We start from the raw sequence: 25,612 nt of genomic DNA, 5'->3' as shown, positions 1-25,612 counted from the left end.
TTCAAGCGGTTCTCCTGCCTCAGCCTCCCGAGTAGCTGGGTTTACAGGCGCCCACCACCACGCCCGGCTAATCTTTGTATTTTTTAGTAGAGACGGGGTTTCACCATGTTGGCCAGGCTGGTCTCGAACTCCTGAGCTCAGCGATCCACTCGCCCTGGCACCCCAAAGTGCTGTGGTTACAGGTGTGAGCCACCGTGCCCAGCCAGTTTGTGTAGCATCTGTGCAGAGTTCACAAGGTGGGAGTCAGTGTCGTCTGTCCCTGCAGACATCATCAGCACCTTCACCAGTTTTTCATTGTCTCTTGTATCACAGAAGGAGCAGCTTCAGCTTTCAGCTCTTCTCAGGTACTCCCTGGCACAACAGCTTCCTGATTCTGGCTTTGAAGTGGGCATGGAGTTGGCCAGGAAGTGTTCTTCCACCCTTTTGCTCCACTACTTTATTGCCTATCCAGAGAAGGTGCTAGAGAAGGAATACAATTTCAGCAGCCCACGATGCTTTCCCATCAGAGTTGGCAGAAGCTGGGGCCTGGAACCCATGCAGGTTAGGCTTGCAAAACTAAGAAGGGTAGGAATGGTAAATGTATCCATATGGAACAAACCTTGCTTTTAAGCCTCTGATCCAATCCGAATAGCGTGGCTTCTTGAAGGTTTTGTTCCTACTTTTGTTCACTGTTACGCTATGTACCAGGAAAGCAAAGCCTCCTTGGAGTTTTCCTTGTGGTTATTTCCTTGGAAGTGGCTGACTTTTCCAGTTGAGTTCAGACTGGCAGAAGCAGAGAGTGCAAGAGAGTAAGTTACCAACTCTGGGAGCAAGGGATCAGGTGTAGATGCTGACAGAAGAAGGTAAATAATACTCAGTCAGGACTGTGGTCTCACACATCAGTGAAGATTTAATAGAGCACTTATGAGAAGATGAATCTAGAATATCTAATTCCTGTAGCCACATATTGAAAATGATGAAATTAGTTGCAGTTAAAGAAAGAACTTGAAAAGTAGACTAAAATAGATTACTAAATGAGAAAAGAAAGGGGCAGAAGAGTAAATTGTTCTGAATAAATGGAAAGCAAATACATATATTTATACATAGTTTTTTTTCAGAAAGGAAGAAGGGAAAGGCTTTTACCTTTCACTTTATAGCTTTTTGTACTTTTTTGAATTTCCTAACCATGTAATAGACATTTCTTTCTTAAAGCCAGCCACAGTGACTCACACTTGTAATCCCAGCCACTGAGGAGGCTGAGGTGGGAGGATTACTTGAGGCCAGAAGTTTGAGACCAGCCTGAGCAACATAGTGAGACCCTATCTCTTAAATAAATAAATAAAAACACTTCCTTTCTAAGATAAAAAGAATAAATGGGCTACCTGGGTCACAGAATTATGGGCTTTTTAGATGTTATTTTCATATTCTTTCTGTAGTATGGAAAATCTAATAAATAAAAGTAAAATTAGGCTAAATCAATAGATAAATTTACTTTCTTTTTATAAGCAAATGTGCAGTTGATACCTATCTAGTATTAAAGGTTTATTTGTAGAACAGTTGAGAGAGAAGGTAATTTAACCCTTCTGTAACCAACCTGTGAGTTGCACTTCATATAGGACCTTAGAATACTAAGTATTTGAGAAGAATTGTGGCTCAGGAATTATCAGGAGCTATATGAGGTTAGTGGGTTTGATCGGGGAACCTTTCACATTCTTTTTAGAATTCCACTGGCTGCTAAGGCGTTTGAATTCCTATGGAACTGATTTCTATTACAAATGTTATTAAAACTTGATGTGGCATCTCTCACTCATTTTTTCTCCTGATATTGCTTCTCCCACTATTTTCAAATCTAAAGCTGCTCTGCTTTAATATAACGAACCAGGACCTGCTTTGCTTTCTGACTTTTGGAACAGATTAGGCTACATAGGATTCATGATGGATCAAATAAAAGAGTTACTGAATAAGAAATAAGACATTTGGAAGGCTAAGATGCATGGACTTTATTCTGTAGCCAGTAGGATCTCTGTATCAGTTTAGGGATTTTTTTTTTAATTTATGAGTACAGAATTTCTTAATGATTTTAACAAATTGGGGATTTTCTTTTCTCTAACCTATCGGGAACATAGAAGTGAAGAGTTGCTGATACTAGACCAGCAACTTAAAGATGTCAGGGCCTGAGTCTCTGTTGTTCCCTCAGCCTTTCCCTCCTGATAGCCTCCTGGTTTCCAGATAGATGCTCTGCCTTAAGCATCACATCGACATTCAAAGCAGGAAGAAAAGGAGAGGTGTAGAGCAAATAAATTCACACACCAGAGTCTGCTGTGCCTTAAGGACCATTCCCACAAACCACACCTAACCACTTCAGTCTTCAAAGTTTTGGCCAGATCTGTGTCCAGTGGCCAATGAGGGTTCTGTTAGAAAAGAAGCATCAAGGCCGGGCACAGTGGCTCACGCCTGTAATCCCATCACTCTGGAAGTCCGAGGTGCGAGGATCACCTGGGGTGAGGAGTTCAAGATCAGCTTTACCAAGATGGTGAAACCCCGTCTCTACTAAAAATTCAAAAATTAGCCAGGCATGGTGGCACGCGCCTGTAGTCCCAGCTACTCGGGAGGCTAAGGCGGGAGAATCACTTGAATCCAGGAGGCAGAGGTTACAGTGAATCAAGATCACACCACTGCACTCCAGCCTGGGTGACATAGCAAGACTCCGTCTCAAAAAATTAAATAAATAAATAAATAAATAAATAAATAAATAAAGCATTAAAAAGTTGATATTTATTGGGTAACCAGCATGGAATGGAATGATATAGCCCCTTCCCTATGCAAACTTGTAGTATGCATTTCCAAGAGAGAAATGTTACATCAAGTATTTCCCATTATGTTTTGGTTTTGTTTTATTTTAATGTGGAACACATTTTTTTGTTTTGCCTCTCATGGGACTCAGTATTTAGAAATTTTGGAAGCATACATTCTGAAAATGATACAAGATAGAATGAAATCAAATGCTAAATAGCGTGGGACAGATTGCATTGGAGTGCAGTAAAAGTCAGAGAAAGAAATGTGATGGTGGTAGGAATAGCTTAAAAAGATTTCATGGGAAAGGGACTTGAGTTGGACTATGATGGATCGAGTTGTACTATAAATGGATTGAATTCTACATGTTACTACATGGTATATACATGTCATTATACATTTATGAAAACCAGTAGAAAGTGCATCGTCAAGCGTGGCCCCTCATGTAAACTATGGACTTCGGGTGATGATGGCGTGTCAGTGTCAGCCCATCAGTGGTAACCGGTGGACCACTCTGGTGTGGGATGTTGATGGTGGGATAGGCGGTGGGGGCGCAGGGCTGCAACAGCATATGAAACTCTGTACTTTCTGCTCAATTGTGCTGTAAGCCTAAAACTGCTCTAAGAAAGAAAAAGAGATGAGACGTAAACAGTTGCAAAGATGATGAGGCTGGTGTTCTAGTGAGGGAAAAAAGAACACAGTCACAGATACAGAAATGACTGCAGCACAGGACAGCATGGGGAGAATGCGTTGGCCCATAATTTTAGACAACCTTTAAGTTAAATGTTCAGTGGTTACTTGAGTTGGAATAAACGTTCAGAACCTACCATATCATTCCTATTAAATTTTACGAAGTTTACATAAGAAATTTAAAATATTTTAATATTTTCTACAGAGGAGAGATGATTAATTTTTGATATTCGACAGCAGTGTATATGTGTATTTATTTCACTGATTAAACTCAGTTAACTAATACTCATAGGATTAAAATTACATGCAAATTTATTTACAAAACTGATATTTAAAACTGAGTCCCCTGTTTAGAACTATTTTTAAGTATTGTACATTTTCTACTTAGATAACTGTACTTTGTAAGTATGAAAGCTTTTCTATTTCATGGCCAATAGTAATCATTTTGTAAAATACTGGCATTAGCCATTTTAGTTTTCCTTAAAGTAAATCATTATCCTATTCAAGTAAAAACACCCTCTTTTCAGTTCGTTGTTTTAATTAAGCAAAGTATAATAAAGTTGAGTTCAATTATTTTTCTTTTCCACATTATTTAAATAGTTTCTTCTAATTACACATTGATTTTAATTGAATTGGGTCTAATTTGATAAACTCCGTTTCCAGCGGTTAAAATATAGATGGATAACTACAGTCTCTGATTTACCATTTCTCCGTGTGACTGGAAAACTTTAATATGGTTAGACTTTGCCCTCCCTTTTGTGTACTTTGCCCTGTACTTTGCTTAGTCGTAAACATTATTCATGTTGTGGGGCAGGGATAATGCTTGTAGAGTAGCTAGCTAGCATTGTGACTGGTGGTAAGTCACCAACGGAGATGAAAAAGCTTGCCTTTTAATCTGATTTATATTAACGCAAGGGGAAAATATATCATTTTCTCTTCTATTTTTAGTGTTGCCATCTGGCTGAAGGAAGGTTTTTGTTTTACTTATTTACTTATTTTTTAGATAAAAGCCTTTTTGGTTGAATTTAAAGTGTGTAATGTTTATTCCTGTCAGCGCAATGTGTCAGAAAGCATTTGTGATGTGAATCGAGGAGCTGCTTTTAGTGGTAAACGAAAGAGCTTAGTGGGTGATTCCCCCCAGTTCCCACAAGATATATGGAACATGTGCTTTTCTGAAATATCCTTTTCCTCATGTTTAGCTAGGGTGGATAATTATTTGGCTACATAACAGATTATCAAAATAAATTTATTAACTGCTTGGGAAAGAGTTGGGGTTTACAAATTTCCCAAAGTTGAGATGCTTGTCTGATGTTACCAGCAGAGGCTGTAATGTTCACATGCTTTCTTTCCTCCATGCAGTATAAGCAGTAACAGCTTGAGTGTCCCTTATCTGAAATGTTTGGAAATGGAAGGGTTTCAGATTTCAGGTTTTTGGGTTAGTGATGCTCGACCTGTATTCTGTTGTGTTTGCAGAGTGTCACTCTAATTCCTGAGATTCTCACTGTAGGTGAGACTGAGCGCTCCTTTCTATGAAGTGGGGTCAAAACATCCATTTGATTTTGAGTCTTGCCTAATATAATGTTGAAATCATCCTAGATTAACATGAGATATTTTTTCTCTTCTGATGTGAGGTGTTTAGCACACTACCCAGCACATATGTGACACTGAACAAATGCTTGATGAAGGATGCAAGAGAGGAATGGATGTGTGCCTTGTGGAACACTGTGACAAAAGTCCAGAAATAAAAAATATTAATGATAAGATGATTAGTAAAAAGAAAAAGAATACATTTTCTTATTTTTTGATGACTGCTAAGATTGTAGAGAAAGGGTGACAAAAAGAGTTCTCAGATCAAGGTCACGTCTACTTCACATCAGAAGAGAAAAAATATCTCATGTTATTCTGGAGATTATAAGGCTGAAGGGCATGACCCCTGCCCTGAGGTTGCTCTGGTCAAGTGGAAAATTATCATAGATCTGCACCTGGCCAGATATCAATGACTGAATGCCGATGTTCCATTTATTTGGAGACTGTTTAAGCTCAGAATATGATGACTATGACTAGACATCAGCTCCTTGAAGGAAAATGGCCCAGTCCTATCCCTTAGGAATATTTTGGTAACCTATTTTGATAGAATTATCTTTTGCTGTTATATACATGATCTTTCCTATCACATGTTAGGTTTTTTATTTCAGAAAATGTTGATTGTGTCACTATTTTATTTATTTATTTATTTATTTATTCTTTGAGACAGAGTCTTGCTCTGTCACCCAGGGTGGAGTGCAGTGGCGGGATCTCGGATCACTGCAATCTCCACTTCCTGGGTTCAAGCGATTCTCCTGCCTCAGCCTCCCGAGTAGCTGGGATTAATTACAGGCGTGCACCACCACGCCTGGCTAATTTTTGTATGCTTAGTAGGGACGAGGTTTCACCATGTTGACCAGGCTGATCTCAAACTCCTGACCTCAGGTGATCTGCCCACCTCAGCCTCCCAAAGTGCTGGGATTGCAGGTGTGAGCCACCACGCCCAGCCTATGTCAGTATTTTTTATAATCTCATGTATAGACCTTGACAGTTCAATCCAACTGCCTCAACTTCTCTTTGGAAGTGGTTCAATATAAATTATTAACAAAGACCTGCGTGTCTCTGTTCCATTCTTCAAGTCTTAGTGCAGTTATAGAAATAAGGAGTGATACCTGTGGAAGATTCTGTCCCTATGTGTCATATAACTATACACCATGTTGGACTGTATTTATAAAGTCAATGTCTTTTGTTGGGTTTGTACTATCTCTTTATTGAACAAATTTATTTCCTTTTGGTTTAATATCATTTTCTATCATGGTCATACATCTTAAGGTTTTTTCCATTATGACGAGATGGAGAAATCAGAAAGTGACTTTCAGTCATTGTCATTGCTGAATGAGCTACTCCAAATTGTAAAGCCTCCACACTCTTACTATGCTCTGCTGAAGTCTACCATAGCCACCAAATCCTAACTTTGTGTTCTGTATAGATGTGTGAAATGCAAGAAAAAGAAGATTTTAATTGAATTATTTCTGTCAGCAGAATAGGGAGAGTGCTGTGTATAACTCAAATATGTATCATTATCAGATGATCCTATTTAGTTTTTTATGTTTTGTCAACAAGAATTGAGCAATAGAGTGAATAAATGGTTCATGATTGTTATTTCTGTTTCAAAATGTCAGTCAGATTGAATGTGGCTGGATGTTGCACCATACCATGAAATGGGTTTATTCTGGTGTGTATAGAAGAGCAAATGAGACTGCACTATTTTTGACATTGACAGTTACTTAAATTGCCATGACACAATACCTGTAGGCATGCCCCATGAAGCAGCTGCTTCCCCATTAAGTGAGGGTCTACAAAAGATTAATAACATCAATCAGTTTCCCATATTTTATCTTCTTCACTCCCTGCAAAATGACCTTCAAAAATATGCCCTACCTATTTCCCAACAGGCCCATTTCCTTATCTGGCCTGCCAGCTGCTCATCCTCCCAGGAGTTTGTGGCTGGAGTCCCATTTCCGGTGGAGGGTCCCTATATAGTGCTGCGTGAGCTGTCCTTGGCTTCTTCTAGGGTGACCACACTGACTCTACTCTTCCCCTACTTCTTGTTTCTTCAGGGACAGACATAAGTTTCACCATATTCATGTTACTTTTTACCACGTAATGGTCAAATACTTATCTCTTGGTACACGATACGGGTAAGTGGAAGAACCTGACTAGTTACTAAATTCTATAGAAGGCAGAGTTCTTAGCATGTCTGTTTTTGTCTGATTTCCTTTTATTGTTTTCTTTAAGATGAGATCCTTTTTAAATTCATTTCCAGCAGGCTTGTTAGACTTCACTTTCCATTTACACAGAATCCACTGAAGCTAAAGTAGTTCACAGCTGGAAGTTCCATGTGATATATACTTCAGTGACTTTCCATTGCCTTCACGAGAAAGTCCACACTCTCAGAATTCAAAGAGACATTGACCTTAGCCAGTTTCTCTTGTCATATTTTCAACTGCCTCCCTTCCTAAACCTGCTGTTCTGACCAGACAGTCCTGATTGTCTCTCCTGCCTCTTTGCCTTGGTAGTTTTGCTCGTGCTCCATCCCAGTGAGGGAACTTCTCCACATTATTCTTCACTTATCTGGATGCTTTCTGGTCTGCAAGCTCTTTGCCCAGGGACTGCTGTGCCTTGTGGCTCCTTCTTCCACTCCAAATTCCTGTAACACTATCTATATCATTTATTTGGTTATTAAACCTCTGTGGGTTTATGGATTTTTTAGAAAATTGAATCGGTCTATTGTTGCAATTTCATGTATGTGCACACTGTCTCTCCTCCAAAGGATGATAAGCATCTTGAAAGCAGATAGTATGTCATATAACCTTTGTATTCTCACTGCGTAGCACAGTGTCTGGCCCATGGAGGTATTGTAAATGTTGAAAAAATTACTTAATTCCTTAAAATTACTTAACATTTCTGAGGCTGGTGGTTCTGTTGATTGTGACAAAGAGACTGACATTAGGGGGTTGGCTTTTTTGTGAGGACATTCAAATGATAGCAGAAATACATGAGCAGATATTCCCTAGAGGTTGAAGACGGGAACTTTGTTGAGAGCACATATTTATAAATGCACACTCGACAGTGACTGATGTACAGATAGTATTTCAGGCCATACTAGGAGATGATTTTTGAAGAGAGGAGATAGTATTGGAGGAATCAGAAGCTCCAGAATACAGTGTAACCTAGAAACATAGGACAAGAAAAGGAAAAAGAAGTGGTAGAAGGAGATACATTATACCCCTAATAATATTACTTCCAGCATCGAGCTCAAGATGTCCCATGGAGTAGTGTACTGTTCGAATAAATGCAAGTAGGAAGAAAACTGAGGTAGTGTGGGAAATGAAATCCAGGTTTGTCTTATGCTAACTCCCATAAGCTTTGATCATTGCTGCCCAACTTCACTTATAATTATGAGGAATTTAAACTAAGGAGAAATTCTCCATTATGTGGAATAATCAGGAATGTCATTAGGAGTGTTGCTGTTGCTTTATGTCCTTCTTGTTCTAATGCAAATTTTATAAATCACATTGGATAAAACACTTCATACCTATGATTCGAGTGTTACAATACTCCTGGCAGGTATATTTGAATAAATAAATGTAAGGAATAAATATATATAAATATATACAAAATAATAAGGACAGCAGTCTCAGGCCTGATATGGTAACTCTTTTCTATACAGATTTATTTAAACTATTAGATTGAAACATAAAAGTTGTTAAATTTTAACCATTTTTTACTACATAAAAGGCTATTTCATGTGGTTCAACCTCTAGTTCTGTGTTCTAGGTCACTCCCCCAAAGCTGTGTCCTCACAAGTCTATGTCCACAAAGGGGCTGTATGCCCACAAAGTCCAGTTGAAGACTGTAGCCGAGAAGCATGTATGCAGTAGTTCCTCCTTATCCATGATTTCGCTTTTTGAGGTTTCAGTTACGGTCAGTTGTAGTCCAAAAATATTAAATGGAAAACTTCAGAAATAAACAGTTCATAAATTTTATGCTGTTCTGAGTAGTGTGATGAAATCTTGTGCCCTCCTGCTCTGTCCAGCCTGAGATGTGAATCATTCCTTTGTCCAGTGGATCCACACTGTAGTCGCTGCACACCTGTCAGTCACATAGGAGCTGTCTCAGTAGATCCAAAAAACATAGCGTATGTATGGTCAGGGACTACCCACAAATTCAGGCATCCACGGAGGGTCTTGGGAACCTAGTATTCCTCCATGGATAAGGGACTATACAGAGCTGGGAACTGAGTTTAAGCTTTTGCTGTTTCACAGCCCACATTCCAGATTTTATTAAAAAGAGTGACTGAAATACATTATCCTTGTGGATGTCAAGTCCCCATATTATTCAGTGAGATTTAAACTCAGGATGGTGCAAAGGTTATAGTCAGACGTGTCTCAGAGCAAGTATTTTGACTAAATTGACAGGTCATTTGTTGGACCAGTTATTCTGAACAGTTGAGAGAAGACTGTATTGGACCATACAGCCAGAAGTAGAAACAAAGCCATGAGAACACCAAGGCCTTTGTGGGAAGACGTTGGAAGGAATCAGTGAGTGGCAGACGATGTGGATTGCACAGGCACATTGCAGCACTTACTGGAGCTGCAGAATTTTCACTAGATGAAGGCTCCAAATGTCTGATGCCTCTATATTTTGTTTTAGAGTATGTTGGAAAGAGAGTCCCAGACCACCAGGGTGCTTGTTTGTATCCTTCCTCTTGTCTTTACCTCAACACTCACATGTGACACTAATGGAATACAGCTTTCAAGCTAGCAGGATAATCAATAAAGATTTCATAAGGCTAGCAAAGACTTACTGAGCATCGTAGTATATGGCTTAATTTTCTTTTTTTTTTTTTTTTAAATGAAAGAAGAGAGATTCAAATAAATAATACTGGAAAGTCACCTAGTCATTTTAATTTTTTTTTCCATGAGAACTTTTATAAGGGTATATACAATCCTATCTTCTAGTTAATGAGGATTTTCAGGTTTTTAAATTTTGGAAATCAGAAAATGAATAAATTCCTGTTGTCATTGTGTTCTTAAGTAGTGAAATCTCCTGCACTTTGTTTAAAAAAAACAAAAAACTCCCAGCTGGGCGTGGTGGCTCACACCTGTAATCCCAGCACTTTGGGAGGCCGAGGCAGGCAGATCACCTGAGGTTGGGAGTTCGAGACCAGCCTGACAAATATGGAGAAACCCCGTCTCTATTAAAAATACAAAAAAATTATCCAGGCGTGGTGGCGCATGCCTGTAATCCCAGCTACTTGGGAGCTGAGGCAGAAGAACTGCTTGAACCCGGGAGGCGGGGGTTGCCGGTGAGCCAAGATCATGCCATTGCACTCCAGCCTGGGCAACAAGAGCGAAACTGTCTCAAAAAACAAAACAAAAAAACAAAAAAAAAAAACACAACTCCCTGTTTTATTTTTCCCATTGTTACTGAGGTTTTGTTTTTTTTTTTTTTAAGGCTCAGATTTACTTAATATAATGAAAGACATCACATCTTAGAAAACTGTCATCTCCCCCAAACCCTGAATCAGAAGGACTAATTACCTCTTCCCAAACCAGGCCATACCCTAAACATCATATCAATAAGTTCATCCTACCTGAGAGCACCAGGAGGTATAACTGTGGCTGAGCTGAAAACCTCTGGAAACAGCGGCTGACCCAGACCTTCCTGCCACTTTAGTCACTTGCCCCCAGGACCCCGTCACCAAGTTAACATAGGTTTGCTTTCTCTCAAATCCCTGAGGAACTAGAAGCCCAGTTTCCTGAAGAGAGCTAAAAATACTTTCTACCATTTATCGTGCCTTGCTGTGGGCCAGGCAATGAACTACCTTTCTGTACGTTATCTCGTTTAATTTTTACAGCTCTGAAAGTAGATGTTTTCCCCATTTACAGATGGGGAAATTAAGACTTAGAGATGTTAAGTGACATGCTGAGGATTCAGCTGGTAAATGGCAGAACCAGGTTTGCTGACTCCAAAACACACTCAAACCTGCATGGGTGCTATGGGTATGGGATGCCCAGGACTCCACAGAAAAGCATAGAAGCTGGGAGAAAGGGCCTTGAATACTTGTTAAACACCTTCTATGTGCCAAGTCTTATGGTAGATTTTTAACATGTGTCTTCTCAGTTAATCTTTCAACAATTCTGTGAGTTAGGCAGTATTATTACCCCATGTGACCTACTTAGAGAGGCCAAATAACTTTCTCGCCACTCAACTGGTTATGTACCAAGTCTCACTTTTGAACCCAGGTCTGTCTGTGTCTTTTGCTGTTACAATGTTCACCAAAGAAGTTTTTGAAGAAATACAGACTCTTAAACCATTGAAGAAGAAAAAGACTGATATGAAAGCAGAGAGATGGCCTGAAAACTTTAGAAATACATCCAACCTAAGAGTTAGGAATTAGCAATATATAATCTTAGACCAAACAGCCTGACAATTTTCAAAAAATTATTTTTATTTTACGAAATTTAACCTATTACTAATCCAAATGGCTTAATGGAAAATAAAATAACATAAAATAAAATTAACCTATCAATTTTATATGAGCACAGAAAAATTTAAAATGGATTGTATATTTGTCTCATGGTGAATATGACTCAGAAGGTCTTCTGGGATGGAAATGAATTCCCAACATGCAGACGATAATGAAGTGGGCAGATAGGCCTCTGATGTTCGCCTAGAATGGATCCAATAAAAGTTAGATGTAGATAAATTAGAGTTAAAGTAACCAGAACTCCTGTTTAATTGATTTTTTTTAATTTGAATTTCAGCATAATAAAGCAAACTACAGCCTCCCTCCAGCACCCCACCCCCAAAAGCATTTATCAGGGCTTATTCAGAAAAGTGACTTGTACTGAACATACGTTGAAGTCTTTTCGATTTCCATGGTCTGCTGTTACATAATATTCAGTTAGGGTTGATGTTTGTTGTCAGGACCTGGGGCTACTGCAGAGACTCAGTGACCCCAAAGAAAGATTAAATGATGTTGAATATACCAAAGCAAGAAAGAAATTAATACATTTGAAATATATTCTAAGCCAATGGTGCTTTGTAAGAACTCAGATCCAAGACTTTAGACTCCAGTCGTGCTTCCACGTGGTTGCTTTATGTGTAAACTGGTGCAGCCATGGGAAAGGCCCTTCATGGCCCCTTGAACATGCCACTTCTATAAGATGGGTCACTCAAGCTGAGGTTGTTGATTTTTTATGTGTTCTTCCTACTCCTTGAGGGCACAGGTTGTAACTACTTCATCTTTTCATTTCCTTAATCTAGCCTAAGAACCTGGTACATAGGTTAACAGTAAATGTCGAATACTTAAATGTTTCTGAAGAAATTTTAAGAAACTAAATGTGTCTTTTCTCTTTTGTCTCATTTCTGTAGCACCCGACAGCTACAAAGTGCAAGATAAGAAAAATGCCTCCAGCCGCCCTGCCTCTGCAATTTCAGGACAAAATAACAACCACTCAGGAAATAAACCAGGTATGATGCATTGCATTAACTGTGGGAAAATAAAGGTTATCTTTTATGCCCTAAAGGCATGCTGATGATTATAAAGGTTTAATTTGTTTAAATTCTAGTTTCCAGAAAACTCGAATTTAGGAGAGCTTGGTTTCAGTCCTGCCACCAAACACACACTCCTACTGGATTGTATGATATTAAGTCAGAGAACCTCTCAAAGCCAAGCCTTGGTTTTCTCTCTTTAAAATGTAGATTCAAACACACGACCTGCTTACCTCTCAGAGTCATTTTGACAATCAATGAGATGGTGTATGTGGATGCACTCATTTAATGTCAAGCAGCTTAAAGGGGTAATAATTTTACTATTCTGTTTCAAATGATAGGACACAATTTTTTATACCTGTATGTCCAACAAGCATTATTGCGTATCTCTTTTGTGACTTTTTCAAAAACTATTTCAAGAAATCTTTACACATAGCAAAGCTTGTATAGAATTATGGTTTTGTTTCCTATTCCTTGCAATGATTATATGCCTACAGAGTAATTTCATTTAATAACCTCTGATTCATAGTCTCTTTCATTCAGTGATACAAAGAAGCAAACAGTCTGTAAATATAATACAAACAATTGAACCGACAGTGCAGTTGCTTCCAGTTATCCAATAACCATTGCGTGGCCTGTGGGAGGAATGAATGTACAGTATGATAACAGGAGACAATCAAAGGAAAGGAAAGCAAGCCGAATACCCCATGAGGTTCTTGGAAACCTACTTCATGCTGCATCCAGGACTGAAGTCACTCAAGCACAGTGACACAGTGAATCAGTGAGAATAAAGATGGAAATAACTGAGTCTAACCTTATAGAGAACATTCTAGTGTGTTTAGTTTTGTGAATTTTTTTTTTTTCATGTGGAAAAGGTCTTGAACACAACAGATAAATCTGGTTTGTCATTTAGAGGAAAGACAATAACAAGTATTGTTGAAAATACTGCTTAAGCTGCCATTAGTGGAAAATGATGTGCAGTCTCAGAGGAGTTTTAATTACCAAGCAGAGATTTCCTTAGTCAGTCAACCTGCCTTTTCATTGAGTCATTTATCCATCCATCTAGCCATCCACCTTCCAGCTACCATCTAATGTTTACTGAGTTCTTCTATGCCGAAGAAGCATGAGAGATGTACTGTATGAGCAAACAACATGAACCCTGTCCCCACGCAGCTTATTCTAGTGGACCTTTATTTTTGTATTCAAGTGTGTCTCTATGGAAGTAGAAATTCTTTAGCATGAAAATCACATTTGTTGGCAGAAGTGGACCTGGTAGCTGAGTTCCCCTGGCCTCCTGGTGCTGCACTGAGGTTATGGCCCACTTCGCGGCCGGGCTGGGCACGCAGGGCAAGCGGGTGGTGTTGGTCACGTCAGGCAGCACCAAGGTCCCTCTGGAAGCATGGCCGGCTCTTCTGCGATGTTTTACCTGGCGCGGCCCTGTCAGATTTCTATGTTCCTGGCTCTGAAATGCCTGAACACAAGATCCAGTCATCTGGGGGCCCACTGCAGATAACAATGAAGATGGTGCCAAAAATACTTTCTTCTTTGATTAAAGATTGTGCTCCCAAAGCATTTATAATTTCCTTTAAGTTGGAGACTGACCCCTCCATTGTAATTAATCGAGCTCAGAAGGCTTTGGAAGTTTATCAGCATCAAGTGGTGGTGGCTAATATCCTTGAGTCACAACAGTCCTTTGCAGTTATTGTAACCAGACACTCAGAAACCAAGTTATAGCTATCAGAGGAAGAAATAGAAAAATACATAGAGATAGAAGAGAAGATAGTGGATAATCCTCAGTCTTGACACACAGCTTTAATATGTGACAAAAACTGAAGTAAAAAGCCCTTACAGGATCAAAAATTGTCCAGGGCTCTTACAGATGGTGAAAACTTTAATAAAACTTTTGCTTTCCTATGAACAGAGAAAATGAAGGAAAGGGAAAAGGCAGTGGTGCGCAGGCAAATATGCTTTGTTATTCATCTTTTAATGACATGTGATACACTCACCTGAATGTCATCTTGATTTTGAAATTGAACCCTAGAACTGTTTCTCACCTTTAAAAATAAGAGCTTATTGGGAAATATATATTACTTAAGGTACACATGGGGGCCTGAATATCAGCCTTCTTTATACTATAAAAAGAGGATTATGGATGCATGAATGGTCATGCTTTGGAAATCAAATATTTGTTGAGTGCCTACTGTGTGTCAGGCCCTGTGCTGAGCCACGAGGATTAAAAAGATGAATAAATGTGTTTCAAAAAAATAAAATAAAATCACATTTGTAATACAATGAGAATTTAACATAGCTTAGTTGTTGGTGCTGTATTTCTCTGGTTCTCCCCATCCACCACTGCTTCTAATTTCTACCATTCTTTTACTGTGCAGTTTATACTTTTATATCCTGATAACTCATTTATTCATCTAGTGTTAGCATCATTAAAGTACTAGGAATATATTATTAAAAGACATAATCTCTACCTTCCAGTTGACAGTATGATGGATAAACCAATATATGAATAGGTCATTCTAACACAGAACCACCAGTGTGACGAGAGATTGCACACAGTGTATAGAGATCAGAAGCCAGAAAAATCTCTTCCACCCTTATTGGCCATCTCCTTATATATAGTCATTTGATTTATATTGCTAAAGTCAAGTTAAATAGGGAGACATTTCACTTCTGATTGTGTCTTTTTGAGCATCCTGTGTCTGTTTTCTTGTATATACAGATAAGCCAAGCTATATAAAAGGCTCTTGATTTAGTAACCACCATGTCATTATTTTCCTGAGTCTCCTCAAAGGACAATATGAGTTATGTGTTGGAGGGCTGGCCTTGAGTAACACCTTTTAATTTTTGTGGGATACGGGTCATAGGAATGTCTGTCTAAAGCATTTTGTTGATTTTCATTTTCTAGAACTTGAAAAAAAAAAGTTCATTATATATTTTGGGATATTTTAGGTATTGTCCTAACCAGGTATGGGCATCCTGACTGAATGATTTCTGAGAATCCCTTTTAATCTAGTAAGTTTTAGCTAAATGTTCTTTCCTCTTTTACCTTCTGATACTTAAACTCATTAGAAGGCTCCAGAACATCTCTTTGATGTAGAACACATTTATCCACATTCAAGTTGTGACTTTTATATTTAAAACACATTATGGCTGGCCAGGCGCCGGTGGCTCACGCCTGTAATCCCAGCAATTTGGGAGGCCAAAGCGGGTGGATCTCCTGAGGCCAGGAGTTCGAGACCAACCTGGCCAACATGGTGAAACCCTGTCTGTAATAAAAATACAAAAATTAGCCAGGCATGGTAGTGCGCGCCCATAACCCCAGCTACTCAGGAGGCTGAGGCAGGAGAATCACTTGAAGCCAGGAGGCAGAGGTTGCAGTGAGCCGAGATCCGCCACTATACTCTAGCCTGGGCAACAGAGCGAGACTCTGTCTCAAAAAACAAACAAACAAACAAACAAACCACATTACAGAAGTCCCTCGTGGTGTTTTAGAACTATGAGCACACTATGTTCTGTGTTATCCTGGAACGACCATTGCTCTCAAATGTGAATACTTGAACCCAGACCAAAACAGACAGTTTGTAAAGTTACACATCTGTCCACGTCTGCTAGTTCCTGAAGAAGTGGGAGATGGTTCTTCAGAACTCCAGCTGCCTTCAAATGATTAATAGTTTGACTTCCTTAGAAAACTGCGTGTTTTCATGGACCTGAGAAAAGCAGATACCCAAATTCATTAAAAATCCTTCTGAATTCCTATCCCTTTGCTGCCCCCCAACACAAGTCTTTAAAAGAGCCACTGAAACTTTATTCTGCCTTACTGTTTATAAGTAATTTGCCCTCATAGAGGAGTGTGTGACTTAGGAGCTTCCAGCCCTTCTCTGATGCCACACGGTGCAATTGTAATGACTGTAGCTGCCATGGTGCGTGGATGGGCACAGGACTGAGTTAGAAATCGGGTTTTATGCCCTCACTCTGACACATATCCGTGCTGTCTTCATTAGTCATATCTATTTCTCTGAGTTTTTTCATTTGAAAAAGAGGCATAATAACTCTTCATTGAATAAATAAATGCTTGGCTAACTCCTAGTGTTATTGGGAAGAATAAAGTGATAATATGTGAAAGTGCTTCATAAAGTACAAATTGCTGACAGAAATACAGAAGTATTTACTGTAGAAACAGTAGTTGTTACATATGAGTCAAGGCCTAGTGAGTTCTTGAAAAAGCCTTGTCAACTTTGAGAGCTCTGTAGTAGCATGACCGTACTCTCAGATGTGTGTAAGGCAATCCAGGTTTATGCATGTTATCAAACAGAGAATTTTAATGGCACTCCCTTTCACCCTTAACAATGCCCCAGGTTAGATGTCACCCCACACTTGAAACATCATAGGTAGGAGGTTGAATGTGGAGTGCAACTGCAATCTTAATTAAGCCTAAGTTCTATTCCTCTTAAACCCTTTTTCCTTGTGAGAATCAGTAACTTAATTTTATTCTAACCATATTAGATCCATTGGGAAACAATGTGGAATATACATTATTTTATTTTATTTCAAGACAGGGTCTCACTCCGTCGCCCAGGCTGGAGTGCAGTGGTGTAATCAGGGCTCACTGTAGCCTAGATCTCCCAGCCTCAAGCGATCCTGTCACCTCAGCCTCCTGAGTAGCTGGGACCACAAGCATGTGCCATCACTCTTGGCTAATTTTTTTTATTTTTGGTGGAGATGAGGTCTCCCTTTTTCAAATAGGCCTGGGCTGGTCTCAAACTCCTGGACTCAAGCAATCCTCCTGCCTTGGCCTCCCAAAGTGTTGGGATTACAGGAGTGAGCCACTGTGCCTGACCTATATATAATTTTTTTTTTTTTTTGAGACGTAGTCTCGTCCTGTCACCCATGCTGGAGTGCAGTGGTGCGATCTTGGCTCAGTGCAACCTCCGCCTCCCAGGTTCAAGCGATTCTCCTGCCTCAGCCTCCCAAGTAGCTTGGATAACAGGCGTGCACCACTGTGCCTGGCTAACTTTTGTATTTTTAGTAGAGACAGGGTTTCGCCATGTTGCCCAGGCTGGTCTTGAACTCCTGACCTCAAGTGATTCGCCTGCCTCGTCCTCCCAAAGTGCTGGGATTACAGGTGTGAGTCACCGCGCCTGGCTGACCTATACATAATTTTAAAGTATTTTCTATAGCTAACTTTTGTTTCAGGGGAAAATAAGTGGGGGTGGAAACGAGAAAGAAGGCAATGAATTATAGGAAATTCACTATTTACTGGAATTATTTAATTGTATTTTTTTGAAAACCTACCTTTAAAGATAAATTTTTATCAGTTTTTAGTTATTAAAACTAAAATTTAAACTTCTAGCATTTAAATAGTTTACTCTGTTATCAGGTACAAGATTGTTCTTAGTTTTCCCCATTGGTGCATCTTAATAAAAGTTTAAAGGCTCTGAGGGTTAGCTAAGGTTGTTCGTTGTTTGTTCATTCATTCATTCAACAAATACTTATTGAATATCCTTTTCTACCACATACAGCCCGAGGAATTGAGAATGCAGCAGGGAAGAAAACAGACAAGTCTCTGTTCCTCCCCAGCCCCATGCACAGCCATCTTTAACCTGCCACAGGTGTTAATGACATTCTAGCACCCAAGAGACTTTCATATTAATGGGAACAGAGGGATAGAAACAACCTACACTAAATAACTTTTTCACTCTACAATTCAATATTTTCTAACGCCAGGTTTCCAAATCAAGCAAAATCATCTAGTGTATCACAACCACTATGCATCTTGAGCTTCAAAAATGTTACATTTCTTTACTTCCTCAAATCTGTTTCCAGAGAGATAGTAATTATTTCAGCACTAATGTTGATGGACAGCCAGGAACTACTGCAGTCCTAAGCATTGGCCTTATTTACAGCCTTATTTTTAATTGTATAAAAGTTTGGTTTTTTACATATTATCTTACCAAACAGGACGCAGTTTGTTACATGCGAAGAGTATAATTTTCATATGAAATGATAGCATAGAAATCAGAGAAAAACTAGCACTTCTTCAACTATTTTCAGAATATACATTCAAAAGGCACTTCACAGGGGGAAGCATTACGTTGCACAATCGGGCATTGCCTCATTACTGCAGGAGCACTGGTTATTACTATGACTTGGGGCTGTCAGGGTTGGTGTGGGTTGTCAGGAGTGGCATGTGTCCCATGTGTTATTAAAGCCTTCTTTTCAAAATTTTGTATGAAATTTGGCATGTACTTGAAAGTAAGCTAGACATGGCACATACTTAATTGAAATATTGTCTAACAGAATTTGTCAGTGGAATTTTAAAAGTAATTAAACTGTCTATTTTACAGACTTTCCATAATGTGCTCATATGGCTTTTACAAAGTTGATTTTCAACTTTTATAATTAAATAAAAGTTTTTATGAGGCTGGGTGCGGCAGTTTATGCCTGTAATCCCAGCACTGTGGGAGGCTGAGGCAGGAGGATTGCTTGAAGTCAGGAGTTCAAGACCAGGCTTAGCAACATAGTGAGAGCCCATCTCTACAAAAAAAATTTTTTTAATTAGCCGAGATCGGGCATGGTGGCTCACGCTTGTAATGCCAGCACTTTGGGAGGCTGATGGATCATCTGAGGTCAGGAGTTTGAGACCAGCCTGACCAACATGGTGAAACCCTGTCTGTACTAAAAATACAATAGCTGGGCCTGGTGGCGCATGCCTGTCATCTCAGCTACTTGGGAGGCTGAGGCAGGAGAATCGCTTAAACCCAGGAGGCAGAGGTTGCAGTGAGCTGAGATCACGCCACTGCACTCCAGCCTGGGCAGCAAGAGCAAGGAAACTCTGTCTCAAAAAAAAAAAAAAAAAAAATTAGCTGATTGTGGTTGTGCACACCTGCAGTCTCAGCTACTTGGTAGGCTGAGGTAAGAGGATGGCTTGAGCCAGGGAGATTGAGGCTGCAGTGAGCCATGATCATACCACTGCACTCCAGCCTGGGTGACACAGCAAGATCCTGTTTAAAAAAAAAAAGTTTTTCATGAGTGAGTAAACCTCATATTATTTAAGGAGTATTAAAGTGATAAGTAATTGTTAAAGGTCTTTCTTTTAACTTCATCTTGACTTTTATCCCGAGTTCTTTCTTTAAAATGCCATTTTACTACGGCCACCATTTTCTTTCAGCAAAACAAATGATAGCAAGAACTTCCTGTGGATAGCCCTTAATAAATTGCCTGAGAGGGTCGTCATGTCCACTTCCATTTTCTTGTTTCCAAATTAAACCTTTTAGGGCCAGGAGCCATATTTTCCTACATAAAAAATATGTGGAAGTACATAAATGATTAGGAAATCTGAAAAATATTTATCATTGTGGGCTATTGAGGAGTCCATTTAACCAATTTTTTTTTTTTTTTTTTTTTTTTTTTTTTTTGAGACGGAGTCTCGCTCTGTCGCCCAGGCTGGAGTGCAGTGGCGCGATCTCGGCTCACTGCAAGCTCCGCCTCCCGGGTTCACGCCATTCTCCTGCCTCAGCCTCCCGAGTAGCTGGGACTACAGGCGCCCGCTACCACGCCCGGCTAATTTTTTTTTTGTATTTTTAGTAGAGACGGGGTTTCACCTTGTTAGCCAGGATGGTCTCGATCTCCTGACCTCGTGATCCGCCCGCCTCGGCCTCCCAAAGTGCTGGGATTACAGGCGTGAGCCACCGCGCCCGGCCCATTTAACCAATTTTTAAGAACCATCCCCTAGTCTTGTTCATCATCCACACTGCCTGGTTTATGCAGGCTCCTAAGGGGCGTCTTTACTGTTTTTATTTTCTTTAAATGTACAAATTCTGTAAAGTTCAAGAGACATATGGCAGCCTGGGCAACATAGCAAAATCCTGTCTCTACAAAAAATACAAAAATTAGCTGGGTGTGGTTGTGCCACCTGTGGTTTCAGCTACTCAGGAGACTGAGGTGGGAGGATTCACTTGAACCCAGGAGGTCAAGGCTGCAGTAAGCCATGATCGTGCCACAGCACTCCTGCCTGGATGACACGAGACTCTGTCTCAAAAGTAAAAAATAAAAAAAAGACATTTGGGATGCAGGCCTTTACATTTGTTGCCAAAGCACTGCTATTTGTCTCTACTGTATTTTCTTTTCTTTTTTTTTTTTTTTCTGAGACGGTGTCTCGCTCTGTCTCCCAGGCTGGAGTGCAGTGGCATGCAGTCTTGGCTCAACGCAACCTCCACCTCCCGGATTCAAGCGATTCTCCTGCCCCAGCTTCCTGAGTAGCTGGGACTACAGGCATGTGCCACCACACTGGCTAATTTTTGTATTTTTAGTAGAGACAGGGTTTTGCCATGTTGGCCAGGCTGGTCTTGAACTCCTGACCTCAAGTGAACCACCCACCTCCCAAAGTGCTGGAATTAGAGGCATGAGCCACTGCACCCAGCTTGTCTCTACTGTATTATTATAGTAGATTCCCATTTTTAACGCAAGGTTCTAAAAATGTCAATGTCAATTCTTTTTTCTTTTTTTGGAGACAGAGTCTTGCTCTGTTGCCCAGGCTGGAGTGCAATGGCGCGATCTTGGCTCCCTGCATCTTCTGCCTCCCAAGTTCAAGCCGTTCTCCTGCCTCAGCCTCCCAAATGGCTGGGACTACAGGCGCACGCTGCCATACCTGGTTAATTTTTTGTATTTTTTTAGCAGAGACGGTTTCACCGTGTTGCTCAGGCTGGTCTCGAACTCCTCAGCTCAGGCAATCCACCCGCCTCGGCCTCCCAAAGTGCTAGGATTACAGGTGTGAGCCACCGCACCTGGCCTGTCAACGTCAATTCTACTGTCAATTTAGTAAAGAGAAAAACCTTTTAAGTGTGATTATTATGCTCATTTTTATTATTTTGTTTTAATTCGGCAGCAGAGTGAGCCTGTAAACCTAGCCCTCTGCTGCAGAACCCCTCTTCTCCACCCATGTCTCACTCAGAGTATAATGCAAAGTCCTCACCTTAACCATGAGCCCCGTCGCTTACTCATCTCACTCTGTTCCAGTCCCTCAGATCTCCCTATTGTTTCTGGAACACATTGGGTACTTGCAACCTCAGGGCCTTTGCACTTACTTTCTATGGAACATCATTATCACAGTGAGGCCTTCCTTGGGCTCCATCTAAAAATTTAAACATCCTTTTCCTGACATGTCATAATCCCCTTCATTTCCTTGTTGTCTCCTTAACCTATATTCTCTGTATTTTTCTCCTTCTTTCATTCTATGTATAGTACTTATTTGTCTTGTTTGTCAGATTTTTTCCCAAGTAGAATGTAAATCCCATGAAATCTCAGGTTTTTGTCTTTTTTTGGTGACTGCTGTCTTTTCAGTATACAGAACAGTGCCTAGCACACAGTAGATGTTCAGTGATTTACTGGGACATACACACTACACACTCTACTAACAGTCATTATAATAATGAGAGATAGGTTCTATTGTATCCTCATTTTACAGGTAATAAATCAAAGTACACCTCATAGCTTGAGACTTACAGAGGTGGGTAAGTACCTTGGCCGGCGAGTGACGGGGCAGAAACTGAATGCGTGTCTGTTTGACTCGAGCACTTCACCTCTAACTCTCAAACATTTGTGCAGTATAAAGCTACTTAAGGATTTTGTTGGTCATTAAGGAACAGACTTTTTAAAGCATAAAAATAATAGAAGTTTGGTAGCTTAGGAACACAAAACATCATTTATATTGTTTGATGAAAATAGCCAAAAGGCTATAGTTACGTCATGATTTTACATGTTTTCAAATAGAAGAAAAATGCTTAGAAATCCTTAGAAAACTTCTAATAATTGAGTAGATCACTGTAACTCTAGTCACATGTACTTATTGTTGTAAAGTGCAGCAATATATTATTCTTCAGATTTACTGGATATTTATCAATGTGTGTTTTTTCTTTTTCTTTTTTTTTTTAATCCACTCTTCATCTCATGTTTTTTTTAATCTCGCTTTCAGACCCTCCGCCTGTGTTACGTGTTGATGACCGGCAGCGGCTGGCCCGGGAGCGACGTGAGGAACGGGAGAAACAGCTAGGTACCCCAGGCCCCGTGTCCATGGCCCTGATTTGAATGGATGTCACTATAATACCGTGGTCTTTTGCATACCTTTATGAATTTTACAGATGGACTATGAGGCAGAATTTAGTATGTGATGATAAAATATAAACATAGGGATAAGTTTTAAGTGACAATAAACTCTAGCCTCAGGATTAAGGTCATCCTTTTTTGCAGTCACAGTTTAATGTGGCACTGGAGGGAAAGTATATATGAGTAGAGTGATGGTACAGCTTACATTTTACTACTGAGAAAATGCGAGGACAGTAAACATATTGTTCTTTTTTACATGAAAAGTTATGAGATTATACACTGTCAGGGCACTTAACTGACTTCTCTGTTAAAATAATGCTGCCATTGAACTTATAGACAGGTGCTACCAGGCTGCTGCCAGGAAAAGCATGTGCTGAGGTGTCTGATTTTTCTCTTATTACCCAAGGCCCTTGTGACGTTAGCAACTGCAATATTTGTCATATAATCACTGGAACCTGGATCACAGGACTATCTTAGCAGAAGCTGAGACTAGAGCACTTAGAGATTGTACAGTCATTGTCTTCTAAAACATTGGGCAAGGAAGCAGGTGCCAACCCCTCCTTTACTTTGATGTCCATTTATGTAAACTTGCTAAAACAGGATACTCTCTTGAAATATACCTGAATGATGTACCTTGGAAAAGATTAAATGCCTGGTCAGCATGTGCGTGTACAGAGTGCCTGGGTATTCTGAAACTAGACTGACAGGGTATCAAAATTTTCCCAGGAGATGACCTGTAACTTCTTAAAGTTGTTCTGCATTTTGTAAGAGTTAATGTTTCAACTGGGGACTCTGCCCCTATATCTCATCCCTTTATTATTCTTATTCCAAAGCCCAAATTTGTGAAATGTAGTGGAAGCTGGTTTTCAAAAGTCTTTTGCTATTGTTTACATTCTTTCAACTCAGACTTGTTTCTGTCCCTTGCCATAATGGCCATATGAGGTCATTTCTTTTGCTTCTGAGGTTTTTTAGGCATAGATTTCATTTGCTTACTGGAAGTGAACATGCTCTGCTGTTTTTCTGTGCCTAGAGTTTCCTCCCTGGCCTGATGGGTTCCCTGCAGGCAGGTAGGTTCTTGGGGAGCAGGCTGTCTGTGGTCACCAGGGCTCTCCCTTCCTCCTGTGAATATGCTCATTGCTCCCTACTAAGGTTGCTTTGACAAGCAAACCAGAACTGAGAGAGGATGAAGGCAGAGCTGCTGAAACTGGAAGATGAGTAAAAATAAGAAACTGACTACTGTTTTAGGGTGGCTGTTATTTACACTCTGTTTTCAAGTCCATGCGTATGTCCTTTTCCCCCTCTTCCCCATCAGGTCTCACACTTGTAGATCTCTTTAGTTATAGCGTGGATTCATATCTGCTTGAATAGAAGGAGTTCCATAGGTCGGGAGAGCATTCCTTTATGGTTTAAATCACATTGTGAATTAGCTTTTCCATACTTAACTCACACCTTTCCATTTGGGTTTCTTTATCTTAACAAAACAAAGCATTAGTTTTTTGTGGAAAGCACGAATATGCTGCTGGTGAAACAAAAATGACTTTACTTATACTATAAAGGTGTAAGACTTACAGCTTTGAGCTTGCAGTTCTCCCTAAAAGTTGCTTACCTTTGTATATTGAGTGACTAGATTTTTTCTTAACATGTAATGCCATATTTCAATTCATATTGATAACACAGGACATGACTCATTAGTTTATATATTCAAACACTGTATGTGCCATATATTGTATTTAAAAGATGACAAAAAGATGAATAAAGGTTGACACCCAGCCCTCTAGGGCTAGGTGTAGTCTAGTGAAAGGCAGATAAACAAGTAGCAACTATTAATGTCACAGTGCAATGCATCCACTGTGAGTGGGTATGCGCCAGGGGCATTGAGAGCCTGTAGAGGTGCCTAAACCAGCCTGGCTTTGCCAGGTGCCACCCAAGTTCCCAACTAAAGGATGAAAGGAGCCTTTCAAAGGGATAGAAGAGCAGGCATTATACAGCAATGTGCAAGAACAGGTGGAAAAAAGACATTTGCTGAGAGACCCAACATGCTTTTCAGATTATTATATGATTATATGTTACATATATTATATCTAGATGATTGTATTATTCTATTATTACAGCTTAACTTTTTTGGTGAGCCAATATATGATATACATAGTTTCTCTCTTCTCTCTCTCTTTCTCTGAAATGGGATCTTGTTATGTTGCCCAGGCTGGACTGCAATAGCTGTTCACAGGTGTGATCACGGTGCGCTACAGCCTCGACCTCCTTGGCTCCAGTGATCCTCCTCAGCCTCTTTAGTAGCTGGCATTACAGACTCACGTCACCACACCTGGCATTTTTCTCTTTATTCTTACCCCTGCCATGTTAAATATCATAATTTTTAAAAATTCAATCTCATTTCTTTTTTCAATTGTCAGAGTCATAATTTTAAGGAAAATATATCCATTCTAATTTTTTTCTTTGCATTAATTTTATTTTCTTTACATTTCAGAGCAGTGCCTTTTTGCCTATTTTTTTTTTCCATTTAAACCATCATAGTTAGAACTAAGTCTTGAGAGGCTCCCTTCAATCTTCATAAATACAGGAGTGAGCATATATGCAAATATACATGCATATATTATATACAGTTGTAAAAGAGCCGTTTAAAAATCTAATTTCAGCTGTGCCTTAGAGTACGTGAGGATGATTTCTAAAAAATCTTCAGTACCAAAAAAAATCAAAGGGCACACCTGATCAACTGTCTATGAACTGTGCTTTATAGAAGCTATAACAGCAGTGGAAATTTTTTTTAAAAGAAAAAAAGTTTAAAAGCAGACACTTAATATTAAGGAAATCTTTGGACTGTGCTTAATTTGAAAACAAAAAAAAAATAGTTGGTAATGTCAACTCTTACCAACTTTCAAACTTTAAAGTTTTCAAGTTAAAAAAAATCGGACACCATTCCACAAATGCTGGC

At 39.6% G+C, this 25,612-nt stretch overlaps 1 protein-coding gene and 1 pseudogene across 39 annotated transcripts in view, besides 2 other annotated features; both read left to right on the top strand.

Annotated features, from left to right (window-relative positions):
• The window catches only part of MAP7 (microtubule associated protein 7), a 207,689-nt gene that overhangs the window by 116,194 nt on the left and 65,883 nt on the right, over positions 1 to 25,612 (top strand). For 37 of the 39 annotated variants that reach the window (NM_001388347.1, NM_001198617.3, NM_001198616.3 and 34 more), the window contains 2 exons: positions 12,430 to 12,528; positions 22,532 to 22,609. The exons of the other annotated variants lie outside the window; for them this stretch is intronic. In NM_001388347.1, coding sequence (NP_001375276.1) covers positions 12,430 to 12,528; positions 22,532 to 22,609 — 177 coding nt within the window. The remainder of the gene's footprint in view (positions 1 to 12,429; positions 12,529 to 22,531; positions 22,610 to 25,612) is intronic. 39 annotated transcript variants of the gene reach the window in all.
• Positions 7,424 to 7,718: a silencer, noted in NCBI's record as "tiled region #12163; K562 Repressive DNase matched - State 5:Enh". NCBI's record gives its function as "represses a minimal TATA promoter and a strong SV40 promoter by Sharpr-MPRA in K562 cells {active_cell/tissue: K562}" and the evidence as "EXISTENCE:reporter gene assay evidence [ECO:0000049][PMID:27701403]".
• Positions 13,793 to 14,453, top strand: LOC124901409 (phosphopantothenate--cysteine ligase-like; annotated as a pseudogene).
• Positions 18,532 to 18,732: a silencer, noted in NCBI's record as "peak6144 fragment used in MPRA reporter construct". NCBI's record gives its function as "represses an SCP1 promoter by STARR-seq MPRAs in K562 erythroleukemia cells {active_cell/tissue: K562}" and the evidence as "EXISTENCE:reporter gene assay evidence [ECO:0000049][PMID:32103011]".

This window comes from Homo sapiens, chromosome 6 (genome assembly GCF_000001405.40).
Source record: "Homo sapiens chromosome 6, GRCh38.p14 Primary Assembly".
Taxonomy (NCBI): domain Eukaryota; kingdom Metazoa; phylum Chordata; class Mammalia; order Primates; family Hominidae; genus Homo; species Homo sapiens.
The sequence above is the reverse complement of the archived record's forward strand: the minus strand, read 5'-3'. Positions and strand labels throughout refer to the sequence as shown.